Raw genomic sequence first — 18474 nt, forward strand, 5'->3', positions numbered from 1 at the left:
GTAGCATAGCACCTTGTGCATCACTGTATTGGGCAGTTCTGCTTTTAAAGATTCTTCCAAAGTAATGATGTTACAAGGTGCCTTTTTTTTTTTAAGATGGAGTTTCACTCTGTTGCCCAGGCTGGAGTGCAGTGGCACAATCAGGGCTCACTGCAACCTCCGCCTCCCGGGTTCAAGTGATTCTCATGCCTCAGCCTCCTGAGTAGCTGGGATCACAGGCACGTGCCACCATGCCCAGCTAATTTTTGTATCTTTAGTAGAGATGGGATTTCACCATGTTGGCCAGGCTGGTCTTGAACTCCTGGCCTCAAGTGATCTGCCTGCATCAGGCTCCCAAAGTGCTGGAACTACAGGTGTGTGCCACAGCACTCGTCCACAAGCTGCCTTTTTATTTGGCCAGTTTGATCATTCTTTTCCATGTCTGTGCTGCTGACCAGGATTGACCCATAGGTGGGTCCTCACAAGAGTTTGTGTTTTGGATCCCTTTTGATGGAAAGTGAAGCTGGCTTCTTAGGACAGCCAGGGATCGGTCATGTTCCCTGTTCTTTGCTTACCAACAGGTTGAGATTGCTGTTGTTCAATGTATGATCATGGAAAATATACCATTAACTCACTATCTTCCTACAGCAAGTGAAAGACCAACATATCCGAAGTTTCACATGATCTGGGACAGATACAAGTTTATGGCTTATGGCTGGCCAGTGTTTCTAGGTTGGGAGAAAGCTGGGGTGCTTTAGGTCCGACTTGCCTGATTCCTAGCCTCTGAGCCCTGTCTGTCTCTATTTCTTGAGTCAGTGCTTCAGGACAGGTTGAGGTGAAGGCCTTTGCTGCCCATATTCCTGCCTCTAAATTCCTCATTGTTGACAATCCCTCCTTTGGGATGAAGTGACTTTCTGTTTGCCTAGGCCAATGATCTATCCCCATTCTGTTTGCATTTTATGTTCTGTTCTCCAGAAAACAGAATGTCTGTTGTGGTCTGCTGGATGGCCGACCACCTGGGTGGGTCTAACTGAGGTTCTCTAAACTGTGCCACCCCACTCTATGCAGCCAGCATATGTGACGTCTTATGGGGTTTATTCCATTTGTTTGCCTAGCCTACAGAGTGGAACTATCCCTATCATCATGGTAGGTGTATTGGGGACCTCACTGATGAGGTCTCCCATGCCCAGAGACCTCTCCTGGGTTAATATCTGGTTCTTGGAACCAAAAGAATTTTCACAGCAAGGTTTGTGATGCATAAGTGTATCACTGAAATAAAAAATGAAGGCTGGGCATGGTGGCTCACACCTGTAATCCCAGCAATTTGGGAGGCTGAGGCGGGTGGATCACTTGAGCCCAGGAGTTTGAGACCAGCCTGGGCAACATAGTGAGACCCTTCCTTTACAAGAAAAAAATGAAACAAACGTGATAGTAAATTAAAAATAGCAATGAGTCAAGTTGTCAGAATAACTGAACTATAGGTTGATAGACCCCCTCCAAATAGGAGGGCTTTAGCTTCCTCTCCTTGGCTTGTACCCCTCTGGTTTCTGGTAGTCTCTCAAAATGTGCCTCAGAAGTTTACTTAAACAAGTCTTGCAGCCGCAGGTTCTGTGTGGCATTCACCCCATTGCAGCCGCAGGTTCCATGTGGCTTTTTGCCCCATTGCAGCTGCAGGTTCCATATGGTATTTGCCCCATTGCAGCTGCAGGTTCCGTGTGACATTCACTCCATTGCAGCTGCAGGTTCCATATGGCATTCGCTCCATTGCAGCTGCAGGTTCCATATGGCACTCACTCCATTGCAGCTGCAGGTGCCGTGTGGCATTCGCTCCATTGCAGCTGCAGGTTCCATATGGCATTCACTCCATTGCAGCTGCAGGTGCCGTGTGGCATTCACTCCACTGCAGCTGCAGGTTCCATGTGGCATTCGCTCCACTGCAGCTGCAGGTTCCGTGTGGCATTCACTCCATTCTTCTCCTCCTGCTCTGTCCCTACTTGTCCATATCTGCTGCCTACCATGTTGCTTGGAGACGTGCTGCTTTGCCAAGCTGCATCACTGCCTATCCTGGGAATGCAGTGTCTGTGCCATATGTGCTGCCACAGCACCCTGAGCATTCAATGCTTGGGGAACAGAGTGGCATAGATGTCAGGAGGAAAGGACTCCTCAGCCCTGTGACATACTTTGTCACCTGGACCCTGGAGTAGCACTGCTGTGTCTAGAGTTTCACAATGTGTATCATGACTAGTTTTCGTAAGTGACTAGTCTTTACACCCTAATCATAGGGGTCCTATTTCTGTCTATGGCATTTAGATAAGAAGATATGGCATCATTCCCTCCAACCATTTTTTTTTTTGGATTCCTCCTTGCTTACCAAAAACTATTCTGCACACTAACTGCAAACCAAGAAAGCTCCTAGGCTCATGTGTAAACACCAGCTAATGCTGGAATGTTTTTATGAGTTGGGGGACAGGGGGTATTGTCTACCTGCAGTAGTCAGACAAAAAAATGTCTTGTGATCCTCTCTCCGTCTAAGGCTTCAACTGTTTGCTAAGGATTCTATTATGGTTGAATTGTATTTCCCTGCTTCCCTGCCACCCAAATTCATATGTTGAAGTTCAATACCTTAGACTGCAATGAAGTCTGTGAAGTCTCCCTTAGACTGTGATCGTTTGGAGATAGGTTCTTCACAGAGGTACTCAAGTTGAAATGAGGTCCTCAGGGTGGGCTCTAATCCAGTATGACTGGTGTCTTTACAGCCAGGGGAAATGTGGACATAGAGACATGCATGGAGGGAGAATGGGGTGAACAGATGTAGGAGAAGATGGTCCTCTGCAAGTCATGGAGAGATACCTGGGCCATATCCTTCCCTCACAGCCCTCACAAGGAACCAACTGTGCCAACACCTTGATTTCAGATTTTGAGTCTCCAGAACTATGATATAGTAAATTTTGTTGTTCAAGCCACTCAAAGGTGGCACTTTGTTAACAACAGGGCTTAGCAAACTAATACAGATTCCAAATAAAAATCTTTAGCCAAGAGCTTTCTCCCAGGAGACCTAGATTGTATATTTCTGGTTTTCAATTGAACTTTATCTGGATATCTCATAGAAACTTAACACTCAGTGTGTACCAAATAGAACTTTCTACCTCACCCTACAAATGTACCCTTCTTGTCCTCTTCAGCTTTCCAGCCTCTAGAGTAGAAATCTGTACCATGTCATGGCAGCTGTGCTGGGCACTGCCCTGAGCTGCCAGGCTTTCCCATGTGTTCATCTGTACCACTACATATTACTAATCTTCCTGCCCTCAGCCTCTCCCCTCCAATTCATCATCCACAAAGCCACCAGAGTGACCTTTAAAAATGCAAATTTGATCCTTTCCTTGGAGAAAGGACTCAGTATTGTTGGGGGCTTTGGCTAGATCTCCTACGCCATATTGTTTCCCCCAAATAAAGTCCACATAGTTTTAAAGAGATCCCTTAGAGAGCTAGAAGAACACGTAAATGAATTATAAAAACTCTTTTGAGGAGTGAAAAGACCTCTCTACACATGAAACAATACTTAGTAATCAGAAAAGAAAATACTAATACATGAGACTACCTGCACATAAAAAATGACCCTGTCATGGAAAATACCAAGAAGAAGGTTGGAAAACAAAATACAAACTGGAAACAAATTTACATGTATGTCAGAAAAAGAATTAAGGTCTTTCATATATTAAAAACCCTCACAAATCAGAAAGAAAGAGAAATAAGCAACATGGTAGAAGAGAAGACAACACCAACTGGCCAGTCACAGAGAGACACAAATGTCCAATAATTGTGAAAATGCCCGGCACCTTTCATAATGGAGGAGATGCAAAAACCAACAATAAGATGCTATTTCCACCCTATCAGATGGGCCAGAATTATGACCTTGGTGGTCGAGGATATGATGGAGGAGGCATTCTCATGCCCTCTCGGTGGGAATAGGAAAATGGTACAACTTACTGGTAGGGAAATTTGTCAGTGCTTTTTGAGTTAAGGATGCAGATAGCTCTGGTTCCAGCATCAACTGCTAGAAATTTATTCTTTACATACACTTGCATTTGTATGTAATAATAATATATGTACCATTCATTGCATTGAATACATATATATTTATATGTACACACACACACGCAATACAAGACTGGAAACAACTTAAACATCCATTGACAGGGTGCTAGTTAAATTATGGTACAAGATGTAATGGAATACCAAAGCTTTCCAAAATATGTTATTAAGGGAAAAGTAAGTTATTGAACAGAATGTACATCATGATTCCATTTGTGGATATGCATGTGTTTTAAAATATATGTATATGTGTATATGCGTTAAAATTTCCAGGATACATAAATAGCAGTATACAGCAGTTATTTCATTAAGGAACTGGAGGCTTGAGACATTTATTTCATAGCCTTCTTTCCTACTTCAATATTTTAAAATGGTGTGCAGCTGGTAGCTTCACAGTGTAAAAGCTAGACAATTTAGGTAGTTTGAATCGAAGTACTTAAAGAAATTAAAAACAAGTCTAATGGTGTCACATTCTTGCCTAAAATCCTTTAGTAGCAAAGTCCTGGAATGGCACGGTGCTTGTGATGAGAGCTCCCCTGCTCAGCCCACCTGTCCCAAGGAAAACTCTGGAATGCTCCCAAATCTGCCATGTCCTTCCAGAACACACACATGGAAGATGTGTCTGTCACCTGAGAATTCAGTGCCACCTGATATAGCAAAACATCAATGGACAGGAGCCTTGAAGATTTCTGAATAATTTGTGTCTAACTAAAACAATTCCTTCAGGTTTCAACTCTAGTAGAATAATCTTTCCAAAATGCCTGAGTTTACTTTCCTGCCTTTGTAAATCCAAAGCAGTAAATCTAAATTTATGTCATTTTTTTTCCTCCCTTCATTGCAGTATTTCAGTAAATCTTAGTAATACGGTGCTGTAGAGAGGCAAGTATAGAATTTAGGACTAAATATGAACTGAGACCAGAAAATTTCTCAATTAAAAACATTTACAAAATGAAATATTTAGTTTTTTGCATTTTCTTTTATAAATTTAGGAACATATATCTGCTTAACTTTGGGTTCCAGAGACACAAGATTTCATTTTTAGGATTGTAGTCAGTACCTACAATCTGAGAAGTCTTCTTAGCAATCGAGAACACAATGAATAATGATGTTTCCCTCAGAATCAGCATGAAGTGTCAGCCCTAGAGGAAGTTGATGCAGGAAATTCGAGCCACTAGTCTACCCCCATAGGCAAAACATTCATGTGGCATATTTACAAAATCATAACACAAATTTTGTCTTAAAGACAAGAAAACATCCAGTGGATGTAAGGCTTATTGAAACCATGATGACTCCCCATCTCATCTCCCCTCTGGTGATTGGGAACAGCTGGGGAGAGCACCCTTTTGAATTTCCAGGGCTGGTTCTGTGTCTCTCTGCAGGGTGGTGGTGGTCACAGGCCTGCAGAGATGGGAGAGAAACACCACTGCTATTTGCTGTGGTGGCTGCCTGGAGTGGAGAGGTTAGCATCTGGAGTTTTCTGTCTTGCCAGGTTGCCCCATCTACATAGAGGGAGTAGGCTTTCCTTGGGGCTTTTCTGTCTGTGCTTGTTGGAGTTTCTGGGTTGCTGTCTTCTCTAACACCCAGTCTGGGATATATGAAGCAAAAAGAAAACCCAGGTCCTCAGAACCCAAGACCTCAGCCAGCTTGCCTGGGCTAGGCTTGGGCCACCCTACATTTGGAGGAAGCTGGGGGGGGGGTCTCAAGTTTTTATCCAACTTACGTTTTCATCTAAATCTTCCACTTCCAGCTTGTCAATGGACTCATCTGTTATACCATCCCAAAAGTTCTCTTTAGAAGCAAACTCCAGGACTTTCGATTTTGGAAGGAGCGTCGAAAGGAAGGGCATGTGGAAAGAAAACCAAAAACATAAAAAATTTAAAAAGAATAGAAATAGATTGATGGTATTTACCTTTGCCCTTCCAAAAAATGCATACATCATCAATGAGATGTTAAATAGGTTAATCACATGACCTAAAACTCAACTTGGGGATACTAACAAAATAGGAATAAGAGGGTCAGTCTCAGTAGCTGACTTAAGAAAGCAAGTGCATGTTCCTGGTGGCTGGTGAGGGTCAGTCTGACAAAGTGGTCTTTGAATGAGTCCTGAGTGAAGTAAGGAATGCGCAGGCAGAAGGCCACGCAGGCAGAATGAACATTTGCCGCACATTCCGGCAGAGGACTAGGTGCAAAGGCCCTGAGGTGAGTGTGGGAGGGGCATGTTTGACACATGGCAGGGGGAACCCTATGGTATGCTCACAGTAGAGCAGACATGAAGTTGCACATCCCGAGGGGAGGTCAGAGAGGAGTCGGGCGAGTGAGGGAGGGAAGGAGGAGTAGGTGGGCACGTGGTGGGCGGGGGCCAGCTTTCAAAGGACCTTGTAGGCTGTGGGAAGGACTTTAGATTTTGTTCCGAGGGAGACTCATTCCGAGTGTGATTTTCACTTGGAAATTTCAAGAAATATATCTGTCTTCCACCAGGCTTGTCAAAATTTGCCAATTTCTAGAATTGCGTATGATTCATAATTACTAATCAGAGCATAAGAGATGAATCCCCGAGCCAGTGAGTTGGATGGAGAATGTCTCCCAGAGACAGTGAATGCCCTTGTTCCTAAAACGGTCAGCTGCAGGCTGGTGACTCTCGGGGCCAGGAGAGTGGCTTAGAGCCTCCGGGGAGCCTGGGTGCAAGCTGAATTGTGGAATTGATCAGTACAGCTTGAGCCCTCTTCCATACTCCTGGGAAGGTGATTCTGAGAGAAGAACTAGGAGGAAGTGGCTCTGGCATGATAATTGGGCCCCCAGGAAAATGATGGTGGCTGATTGTCTCAGCTTCTGATGACACCAGCCCTTTCCAGCTAGCCCCTCTGGAGAGCCTGGGAACCCTGCCAGGTTGGCCCTAGACTGATATCCTGTTTGATTTTGTGTCCTTCTTATGCCTTTGGGGACAGAGATGGGATGTTCTTTGTGATCTCTACACATTACTTTTGTTCTTCTTCCCAATTTTGGCTCCGTAGCAAAAACTCTGACTCCTTTGGGCTCCTCCTGGGATGGAGAATTTTACTGGGCTGGGGCTGCGTTTACCCACACTGTCCTGGGGCCTCTCTACTTGCAAACCTTCTTCTGCAGCCTTGGCTTGTGCCTGACAGACTTGCCGCGTATGAGGTGGGCCCCATGCTTCCAGAATTCCCTGGCAATTCTTCCATCACTTCCCACAGGTGCACACAATGCCACCCCCACTGGGGTACCCACAACAGGGTAAAGGCAAGAGCATGCTCAGCTTGATTCTAAAAACACTATGTGTTCCCGAACTGTCTGCCATGGAAATGACCAGGGACATTTTAAAAAAAACATTGAAGAAAACCCAGCAAGAATCCTTGGGAATTCAAGCAAGCACTGGGGAAGCTCCTTGTGGGTGGCATTAGAGAGGAGAAATGAATGAACTGGTAGAAAAGGGGCCTGAGAGACCAAGGAGCAGGCTGTGGTGGAAGGTGCTCTGAGCCTGCCTCAGATGTGCCTGCCAGAGATGGAGATGAGTATGGCTGTGGCCCTGGTAACTCAGCAACTTCCCATCATTTGCGATTGCCATATTTTAGTAGTTTTTTTTTTGAATAATGCATAATGTGAGCTGGTACAAAAGGAAGTGTTTATTACGGGAATAAGGTGAACTGGGCAGCACTGAATACTCAACAGTGGTGCTCAGAAACATTCGAGTCAATGTAATAATTAAGCTTATTAACGTGGCTGGGCACTGTCAACATGTCAAGTGTAATAAGCAGTATCATAGCTGTGACTGGGGCTGAATGAGAAGAAAAAGCCTTATTTCTAATTAACTTTCCCTTTGGGGACATCTGTCAACCTCTGCCTCTCTTCTAGTGATATCATTATCTCCTCCTGAAGTCACTCCATGAGAGGATGGGAAGGGCCTGGGGGGAGTATCAGGCCAAATTCGAGTGGTAGCTCTGTCATCTGGAACCTGGGCCACTTCCGGCATGTCACTGTTGCATGTCCCCCTTGCACCCCAGCTCCTTATCTGTGCAATGGGACAATAAGACTCATCCTGAGGGTGGCTCAGAGGACCAGTGCTAATGTAGGTCAATGCTAGCACACACTGTTCCCCAGGTGGAGCATGTCTTCTCCTGGACTGATTAAAAACAAATCTTTTTTTTTTTTTTTTTTTTTTTTTTGAGACGGAGTATCGCTCTGTCAGCAGGCTGGAGTGCAGTGGCGCGATCTCAGCTCACTGCAATCTCCGCCTCCCGGGTTCAACCCATTCTCCTGCCTCAGCTTCCCAAGTAGCTAGGATTACAGGCGTGTGCCACCATGCCAAGCTAATTTTTGTAGTTTTAGTAGAGACGGGGTTCTACCATGTTGGCCAGGATGCTCTCTACCTCTTGACCTCGTGATCTGCCGGCCTCAGCCTCCCAAAATGCTGGGATTAAGAACAAATCTTAACTCTTCCTTATTCCAGTGCCTCTCCTCTATCATTTTTCTTTTTTATTAAAACATTTTTTTAGGGACAGGGTCTCTCTCTGTAGCCCAGGCTGAATTGCAGTGTTGTGATCATGGCTCACTGTTACAATCCTCCCACCTCAGTCTCCTGAGTAGCTGGGATTACAGGCACACACCACCATGCCTGATTAATTTTTAAATTTTTTGTAGAGATGAGGTCTTGCTGTGTTGCCCAGGCTAGTCTCAAACTCTTGGCCTCAAGTGATCCTCCCTTCTCGGCCTCCCAAAGTGCTCGGATTATAGGCATGAGCCACTGCACCCAGCCTCTTAACATTTTTCTTGACAGAACTACCATTCTTGAATTTGGGATAAATGAGCTGTGTGTAATTGCCCTGAGGGGCAAATATTATAATTCCCACATTACGTGACAAAGATTCTTTGCTTGACCAAACTTTAGTCAGGCTCCCGAATCTTTTCCTAGGTCCATCTGTGCACTTCCTTATAAAATCCAGTTTTAGCAAGAACCCTGCTAAGTTGGTTTAACAAGAACCGCTACCCTCAATATCTGATCTCCCTCGATATCTAATGAGGTTCTTCATCCTCCACCACCACCTGGTTAATATCTGATCACCTGACCCATCTTTAGCAAGAATCCCATTAGGTTGGTTTACTCAGAATTCCCCATGCCCCTGATGTTTCCTCTTAGTGATTTTCCATCCACTGACCTCTACCCTGCTCCTTGGGTATAAATTCTCACTTGCCTATGATGTATTTGGACTTGAGCCCAAGCTCTTTCTCCTCCTGCAAAATCTGATTGCTGTGGTCTCTAAACTTACCACAGTGGTTCTGAATAAAGTCTACTTACTCTTACTGTGCTTTAACAAATGTTAATGATAATTTTTTCTTTAACAATAGATGAGGAAATGGAGGGGGAGAACAGTAAGTGATTAGTAAGCAACTAGCCCAGGACTAGCTCCAAAGCGAGCAACCCAGTGCCACTGATTGACAAGCACACAGATGAAACTCAATCCTGTTTTTACCTCCTCCATGTTTCACAGTGAATTCCCTACTATCCTAGGCAGATGGCTAAAGGGTTGGGTTGGGCTGGTGGCTGCTATGGACACAAATCTATAAATTGTTCTAAAATCTAGCTACTCAAAGTGTGGTCCATGGATAAGGGAGCTTGTTAAAAAGACCAAATCTGGCCAGGCACGGTGGCTCACGCCTATAATCCCAGCAATTTGGGAAGCTGAGGAGGGAGGATTGCTTGAGCCCAGAAGTTGAGACAATCCTGGTCAACAGAGTGAGACCTGATCTCTTTAATAATCATAAATTAGCCAGGAGTGGTGGCATGCACCCGTGGTCCCAGCTACTTAGGAGGCTGAGGTGGAAGAATCACTTGAACCTGGGAGGTGGAGGCTGCTGTGAGCTGTTCTCACGCCACTGGGCAAGAGAGTGAGACCCTGTCTAAAGAAAAAAGAAAGGTCAGATCTCAAATCTCAGATCTGCTGAATGAGAATCTGCTTTTAAACAAGATTACCAGGTAGTTGTCCTGCACATTAAAGTTTGAACATCGTAGCTCTAAAATGCCCATGGAAATGGAATAAGATGGAGAAAACTGTTGATCAGTAGTACCTTTCTGGCGGTGCGATGGGTTGGGTGGGATGCCTACTCTAGAGTTTACAAGAGTTTATTTGATAAGCCATGGGGTGGGGATGGAGGTATAAGCAGCTGCTGTGTGTGTGTAAGAACTGATCCTTCTCCCACTACCCCTATGTTCAAGTAAAACAGATCTTAGTCCCTAAATTGTGTTCTAATGAGGATGGGTCTGGTTAATTGCAGGCTTTTGTTTTGTGGAGTGGTGCTCACAAGTTGGGATTCTGCTGCTGTAAGGATTCTCCCCTGTTCTTCCCCCTCGTAGGATTCAACCAGCCCCCTCTTAATAAACATTTAATAAACACTTACTGCACCATTTGTAGGGGCTCCACTTTATCCATTACCAAGATGGCATAGGACCCTGAGTCTATCTGGGGAGGTGCAGGTATCCCAGTCAAACCCTGCTTCCAGGGCCTCAGGGAATCCAGCAACTCTCTGGATGCTCTTAAATGTGGGAGTCCCTATCCCAAGCTTTTGAGTAGGAAGATGGACTTACAGTCCTGTTCCTTCAGAGACCCTCTCTCTGTTTCTCGTTTTAGCCTCCTTCTTGAGGAGGTTTGGGGTCCGTGTGCCCAGGATGCCCCTCAGTCCCCTCTGGGCCCTGGGTCATGCTGGATCAGAGAGGGAGCCACCTGCTAGGGGCACCTTCCCCACCCAGGGCACTCTGAAGAAAGCAGGGATCTTTGGATGCATTATGTCAGATGCTCACCATTTTCTTCCTTTTTTTGCTGTACTTTAGTGTTAACATGCTCTAAAAAAGAATAAGAAAAATTATTAACAGGATACGGTATAGTGAACTAGTCCAGACCTTTTAATCCCTTATGGAATCAATTTAAAAATCATCTCCTAGATATCTGGGAAGCCTCAGGGTGGAGTGCCTGTGTTTTGGGATAAAAGCCTTCCTTGATCTTCAGCAGTTGGAGGCCCGCAGAACATGCTCACCGAATATTGATTCCCCTCCCTTTATTCTTATTGTATCTTGCCCACTAGAGTTCAGGTTCTGAGAGGGTGAGATGGGTTTTGTCTACTTTATATCCTGCCTCATATACAGTAGGGATGTAGTAAATGTCATTGCATGAACTAAGTATGGGTAACAACATTATCTACCCTCCTAATTGCAGTGATAAATATTATTTCCTCTCCTTTCAAAATGCCAGCGCACTTAACTTTCTGGTTCAATGTGTTACTTGAGCCTGGAGCCTCAACATTAAATTCCAGAAATAATGCCTTGGCCATTGGCCTCCATTAAGCCTGCTCTGTTCTAAAATGGCCAACAGCATGCTCTCCTTGGCTGGGGGCAGGCTAATTCTGTGCTTCTTACCTTCTCTGGGATGGATGACTAACTTCTACAGATCATTTAAAATCATCATAAACTTTACCTTCCGGAGCCAGCTTCGTGGTGGTTTCTTGCTCTGTTTCTGATTTCGATTTTAAAGATTTTACTGTTAAAAGGCAGAAGAGGGTGGCTATTAATGATTTAAACCTTACATTTTCCAGTGGGTTCATACTGGGTATGTGGGGTCCCAGGTTCTTTCTTGGCACCCAAGGCTGGTCAACAGTTGGGGGGAACTGAGGCTGGCGGCACAGCTGGCATATATAGATGCCCCACTGCACCCCACCCTCTTTGGCTTTGGTAAATCACTCTAGGATTGCAATAAATTAGTCGTCAGAAAATGTAACCCTGTTGTGGCCTTCTCCTCTGGTTACCATGAGGCTAGTTTTGGTCCTCAGAATAGCTGGAAGGGCTGAGGCAGGGTAAGAGGAAGACTTTAGAGGTATCCCTCCTGCTGTAGGAACCATAGAACCAAGTGGCTCCAAGGCCATGTAGACACACAATGCGGTGTGCCTGTCACTGTACAAAGTAGTGTGTCTGCTCTGTGGCCATGGGGTGTGTGATGGGGACTGGATGGGAAACATGGGGATTGCCTAGGATAGATCTGCTAAGATTTGCAATGGGAAGCTACTGTATATATATATTTAGGACTTTTGTAAGTTCTTGATTACCCTTGTTTTCTGTCTTCTGGAACTTTATGATCCCTGTTCCTTTTTGCCTCTTTCCCTAGTGTTTGTCTTCCTACTCCTGAATGCTAAATACATGTGTGTACATGTGTGTGTACACACACTCAAAGACAGACACACACATACACATCCTACATTCCATTCTTGTTTTTGAGACAGAGTCTCACTCTGTTGCCCAGGTTGGAGTGTAGTGGTGAGATCTCCGCTTACTGCAACCTCCGCCTCCCAGGTTCAAGTCATTCTCCTGCCTCAGCCTCCTGAGTAGCTGGGACTACAGGCGTGTGCCACCACACCTGGCTACTTTTTGTATTTTTAGTAGAGGCAGAGTTTTGCCGTGTTGGCCAGTCTGGTCTCGAACTCCTGACCTCAGGTGATCTGCCTGCCTCAGCCTCCCAAAGTGCTGGGATTACAGGCATGAGCCACTGCGCCTGGCCCATTCCATTCTTAATAGCAGGGACTAATAGGCCCATGATGAAAAAGCCAAGTAAACTGCTCCATTAGCTTATGGGAGTGTCCTAAATTCAAGACGGACAGGGTACAAAAACAAAAACTTGTGTTGTGGCCTGTGGCGTTAAGAGGACTTTGAACACTTGCCATATCAGTGCCTATTAGTTCTTCAGCAAGAGGCCGGCACTTCTACAGACAAGGAGCTCTCCAATTTCAAGAAAACTCACTGTGCCATGGCACAGTTCTGACTGTTAGGAATAATTTCTTTTCTTAAAATATTTCTCTAGGATTGCATTAGTGTCCTATTCTAGCCCTTCAGTCTGGAGTGTAAGACTCAGGTCTTGGTTTTGTGTGGCAGATTGTCAAATATTTAAAGTCAGTTTTTACATCTCAGTCGTGTGTCTTTCAGACTTAACATCCTCCTTTGCTTCAGCAGTTCTTTGTGTGACGTAGTCTCCAGGTTACTGTCCAGGACACCAGCCCTTCTGTTGAGCCCCCACCAAGCTCCTTCTAGTTCTTAGAGAGTGTGGTGTCCCCCAAACTGAACGCGCCATTCCAGGGATGGCACTCCAATGCAGGGCACAGCAGGATGAAATCCTCTCTACATAACCTTTCAGTTGTATCTGGTTGTGTTAACTTTTCTGGCAGTGACATCAATTATACTGTTGAATTATTGAGCTTGTGGTTGAAGAAAGCATCTAACAACAAACAGGGCTTCCTTACTCTGCACTTCTCCAGCCTGCTGTTTTTGGGGGCCTGATAGCAGGATCTGATATCAATGACCAATATCTTTCATCTAGCTAATTCTGGTCTGATGTTTCTGCCTGCCAAAATCTTTTAGAATCTGACTATGTTATCCTCAGCATTCAACAGCTTCAGGGCATCTACAAATATAAATATTCCTTCTAAATCTGCATCCAAGCCTATTATAAAAAATGTTGTACTGGACAGAGCTCCACGGCTCTCTGCTGGAAACTGGGTTGACTCTGATCTATGAAACAGCATCTTGAGGTGCTGTTCAGTCAGTTATTAGTGATGACATCATCTTACAGTAGCACCCACCTAATATATCTCTATCTTGTCCAGGAACATCAGGAAACCTTTGGAAATGAAATGCCTTGTGGAATTTCGCCCTATGGGGTTTCCACAGTTCCCTAATCTGATAACCTTGTCAAAAAGTGACCTAAAAGCCAGTATTATGTAATTGGCTTCTATTGATCTTAGGCTGGTTTCTTGTGGTCATTTTGCTCTCAGTATTTATCCCAGATTGGTCACAGACTCATTTCACCAACTTCCCACAATTCCTCAAAAACCAGAAGCATGATTAAGCTATTCTCTCAGTACGTACAAATTCTGGAGTATATTTTATCCAGATGAGGAGACAGCAGTTACCATTCTCTTTTGATTTCTTTTCACCAATCTTTAGTTCCTGCTATTTCTCAACTAATTTTGTTGCACTCTTTTCAGTTTGAGGATAATTTTCTTTTACAGTAAGTCAAAATTAAATAGCAATTAAACAACTTGATTTTTCCCTGAATCATTAATCAGCACTACACTAAACAGTACTAGCCTGTCTGTCTTGACTTTTTTTGGCTCAATTCTATTTTAAATGGGCCTCTGTCTTTTGTTGCTGCCTGTATGATCACTATTATTATTATTATGTTTTGGTAAGAATGTTTATCCTGGGATTGATTCAGTTTTCCTGACACTATTCTTAAAGTTCACAGCCATTTTCCTACATTTATTGTTGAGAGCATCCTCATCTTTTTAACCTCTGCATGTGATATTTCAAAATCTGAGTCCACTGAAGGAAGCACACCAGTTTGCACTTTTGAGAGCTTTCAATCCTCTTCCCCATCTGATATGGTTTGGCTGTGTCCCTACCCAAATCTCATCTTGAATTGTAGCTCTTGTAATTCCCATATGTTGTGGGAGGGACCTGCTGGGAGATAACTGAATCATGGGGGCGGTTTCCCCCATACTGTTCTTGTAGTGATGAATAAGTCTCATGGACCTGATGGTTTTATAAGGGGAAACTTCTTTCGTTTGGTTCTCAGTTCTCTCTCTTGCCTGCTGCCATGTAAGATGTGCCTTTCCCTTCTGCCATGATTGTGAGGCCTCCCCAGCCACGTGGAACTGTGAGTCCATTAAACATCTTTTTCTTTATAAATTACCCAGTCTCAGGTATGTCTTTATCAGCAGCATGAAAACAGACTAATACACCATCTGACCTCTCCTTACACCTCTGCGTATTCTCACCCACATTTCTATACACACAATGTCTCTATGTGTACGTAGTTCTATCTACAGAGCTCCTTTCCTACGAAGACTGGTTTTTTGTAGTAGGATATACCCTTTTATCACCATGATCTGACCTTGAATCAGATGAGCATTCAACAACAATTTCACAAGTATTTAATAAATATTCATTTGTGGTTACTATGTGCCAGGCACTAAGTATGGAGAATTTCTGTGAGCATGGATGTAATGCTCTGCATTAGAATTTCTGGCTGACTTGGTTTATGATCCTGCTCTGTGCCTGGATAGACACATGAGGCCATAACTAGTGTTTCCAGTGCTCCAGAGCGTCTTCTCATATGGATCACAAGGCATTTCCTGTGCCTGTTGCAGCCTTTCCACGTCAGACCTGCCACCCTCTGGAGTCATAGGTCCCAAGTATTTACCTGGGTATTTTTTCCTCCATATTTGGCCAAAGTCCTATTTGTCGAGAAAGGCTGAGCCATGTGGAACACGATTTTTGACTCATTGTGGTTGAACAATTCCATAATAAAATCATGCTTTGGAAGCGGGTGCCTTGAAACCAATTCATCTTAAACTAGAAGTTCTCCATTTCCTCATTGTTCGTGTCCCCAAGCATCCTCTGGGGATCTGGTTAAGAATGCAGATTCCAGGATGTTTCAGGCAGGGGTTCTGATAAGCGTTGAAAAGCTACATTTTCACGACTGCTTGGTGACAGGGACACCCAGTTCTGGGCCTCCTGGAGCAGCAGTGCCCATGCCTGGCTTCGTCTTTGCTGACTCCTGCGGGCCTCAGCTCCACGTGCCCAGTTCTTTGGGTTGTGTTTGCTGTGGTCACCTGTGTTTCTCCAAGTGACCAGGCGGCTTCTTCCCTGGGCTGAAAGCTCTGCTTGTCTGCATCTGCCATGCTTGGGAATCCTTAGTAATGTGTACCCCACCTGCAGGAAGACCGCTTTCCCCTCCTGCACGGATGGTTTTCCTGCGTCCCTTTCCTCCACCTCCTCCTGACTGGGTTTTGCACTTCCCTACCTTCCTGGAGTTTTGTGCTTCCTGGTTCATCTTTGTCGCCATCTTCAGGCATGTGGCCAGCCTGTGTTTTACACCAAGCAAGGGAACATGGACACTGCTCAGTGCTCCTTGGTTCATTTGGGACTTTCATCAGAGTATGCTTGTTTGGAGTGAAAACTGGAGCATTTCAAAGTCAGTTCGCAGTATGGCTTGGTAGAGAGCGTGGCTAGGTAGCTGGTTGCCTTTTCCCTCTCTCAGCAGGGCTCACAGGACCTAGGCTTCCCTGACCCTAGAAGGCTGCCATTGGGGATGGAATATTCCTTTCCATGGCTTTCTTGATAGCTGACTGGCTGTCTAGCCCATAAACATACTTATGGCATTTAATGGTGACCCAGGACCCAGGAGCTGCTAAATCTATTCATTCTTTGTCCCTCTTTGTCACACTTGCGCCGTTCTGTTGGCCAGACACAATCATATACCTGTTGCCACCAATGCTCTCCAGAAAGATAGATTGGAAACTACAGACAGAAGGGGAGAGAAAAACCTCCATGAATTTTTAGGGAATTGCTTGCCTTTCCTTGTGTTTCAATCTTTGTTCTAATGACCATCCCCCCACCCCAAGTAACTGCAGGAAACTGGGGTGTCATTGAGCCTGGCTTAGAGGCTCCAACACAGTCCATATCTTTGACTCAAGCCACCAATGTCACAATATTTGATCAGTGGACATTTCCTGTGGGTGGTCAGACTTTTACTAAACACTCAGTATATGTTGGCTTTAAGGAACTCCAAGACATAGCTGCAAAATGTGCCCATACAGACCGAATATACATGGTGATTACAACCTCAATGAAATGCAGACATAATTAGCTCTATTAATAATGCTAATGAAGGGCCAATGAAACAATGATTTCAATGGGGCCCCTCTCGGGGCTGGGTCCACAGTGGTGTGAACAGGCTCGAGTCCCCTCTGTTGCATACCCCAGCCTTTTCCCATTACCTTTCTCCTCTCCCACATCCTCTCAAGCTTAGCATTGGCACTTGACTGGCAATTACTCAGGAAATGACTTTCAGAATCCTTCTTATGAATATTTAGATAAATGCTCAGATTTTCTCGGTGGTCATGCTTACTGACTTTGAGATGGCTCCAGTTCTTGGGGCTCCGTGGGAGCACACACGCTGAAAAAGGTCCCCAGTGAACCGATGTAGCCTGTGAAACACTCCTCAGCACATGCTGGCGGTGTGTGCCTGTCCTCTGCCTCTCCATTCTCCCTTATAGGGTTTCTGGCTCCTAATTTCATTTAACCACATTGGAGCTACAAAATTTAGCAGCCACGGATAGGGGCAGGGAAGGGAGGTGACGGGGGAATCTAATTTACTGCTGCCATGACTACAGATGTGAAATAAATCTGTGAATCAGTGATGGATCGATCCCACTAAAGCTGGATTTAAATAATTAATAACGGCAAGAAATGCTATTCGGTCTTCCACCCCCAGGGTCCCAGAGTGAGGATTTGGGGGTTTAATTGGGTAGAGAATGAAGACCCTTAATGCAATTTTGCCGGACTCTCTCCTGTGTGTCTTAGCTGTAGCCACGAAAGTTCACTACATGGATAGTTTTGGTGGGTTCTGAATCAGGGCTGGCTTTGACCCCCACTGAGACTGTCTGAGGTGGGCCCATGTCCCATTTTCCATTTTCCACATGATTATCTGGATATGGCCTGTCACCCCAGGGAGCCAGTGTGTAATCTGGGAAGAAAATGGCCTGTGTCCCTGAGGGAAATTGTGCCTGTGTTCATGTAGAACAAGAATAGGAAGACGAATGAAAAACAGGGGAAGAGACGGAAAGATGGAAGAAGCTATTTGTTTCAGTACTTTGCTGATGCTCTTTCTCTGAGGGGGGTCTGGGATGGGATGAAACAGGAAGCAAGGCTAGGAGAGGAGTTAACATCTTACCCAAAATGAGACCTCAGAGGGCAACAGAAACAGTAGGATATCATTAGCATGAAAGGCAATACTCGAGCCACAATATTTCACATGCACAAAACCATTCCTCCCCTGGCCCACAGAGCCCGGCTGCGCCTCACCGACAGAGCGCAGCTTCCCTCACCGGCAGTTCTGTCGTAGCACCAGTCTGTCTGACTGGCCTGGCTCCTCCTGTACAATGTCAGAAGCAACTCAGAAGACTCTGTGGCAGATTCAGAGACAGGAGAAGGGGTAGCGAAAGTCAACGGGACAGTCAAGAAGGTGGTCACCTGAGAGGGGCCAGCGTCTGGACTCCTGTCAGAGGGGAGAACAGGAAGGTCAACTTCCAGACAGGGGCCAGGTCAGGAACCCCTTCTAAGGCATGTTAGGGGTTGAGGGGGTGCTCTTGATGTCCAGACCCAGATGATGGACATCTCAAGGTTTGAAGAGACTAGCTGTGAATCATGAAAAATAGGCCAGTGTGTCACTCTGGGCAGCAGAGCCACACATTGCCGCTGCTGCTTCACTAAACTGTGAGAGGATCTGTGGCTACCTTCAAAGGCCACTGGGCCAGATGGTCATAACTGACAGACGTTCCAGAACATTC

At 45.1% G+C, this 18474-nt stretch overlaps 1 protein-coding gene across 3 annotated transcripts in view; it reads right to left on the reverse strand.

The window, feature by feature from the left end:
* The window catches only part of ERICH6B (glutamate rich 6B), a 74446-nt gene that overhangs the window by 27757 nt on the left and 28215 nt on the right, over positions 1–18474 (reverse strand). For all 3 annotated transcript variants that reach the window (NM_182542.3, XM_017020418.2, XM_011534965.3), the window contains 4 exons: positions 18013–18182; positions 11553–11615; positions 10883–10924; positions 5792–5880 (listed from right to left, as the gene is read on the reverse strand). In NM_182542.3, coding sequence (NP_872348.2) covers positions 5792–5880; positions 10883–10924; positions 11553–11615; positions 18013–18182 — 364 coding nt within the window. The remainder of the gene's footprint in view (positions 1–5791; positions 5881–10882; positions 10925–11552; positions 11616–18012; positions 18183–18474) is intronic.

The sequence above is a fragment of the Homo sapiens genome, chromosome 13, assembly GCF_000001405.40.
Source record: "Homo sapiens chromosome 13, GRCh38.p14 Primary Assembly".
NCBI lineage: Eukaryota > Metazoa > Chordata > Mammalia > Primates > Hominidae > Homo > Homo sapiens.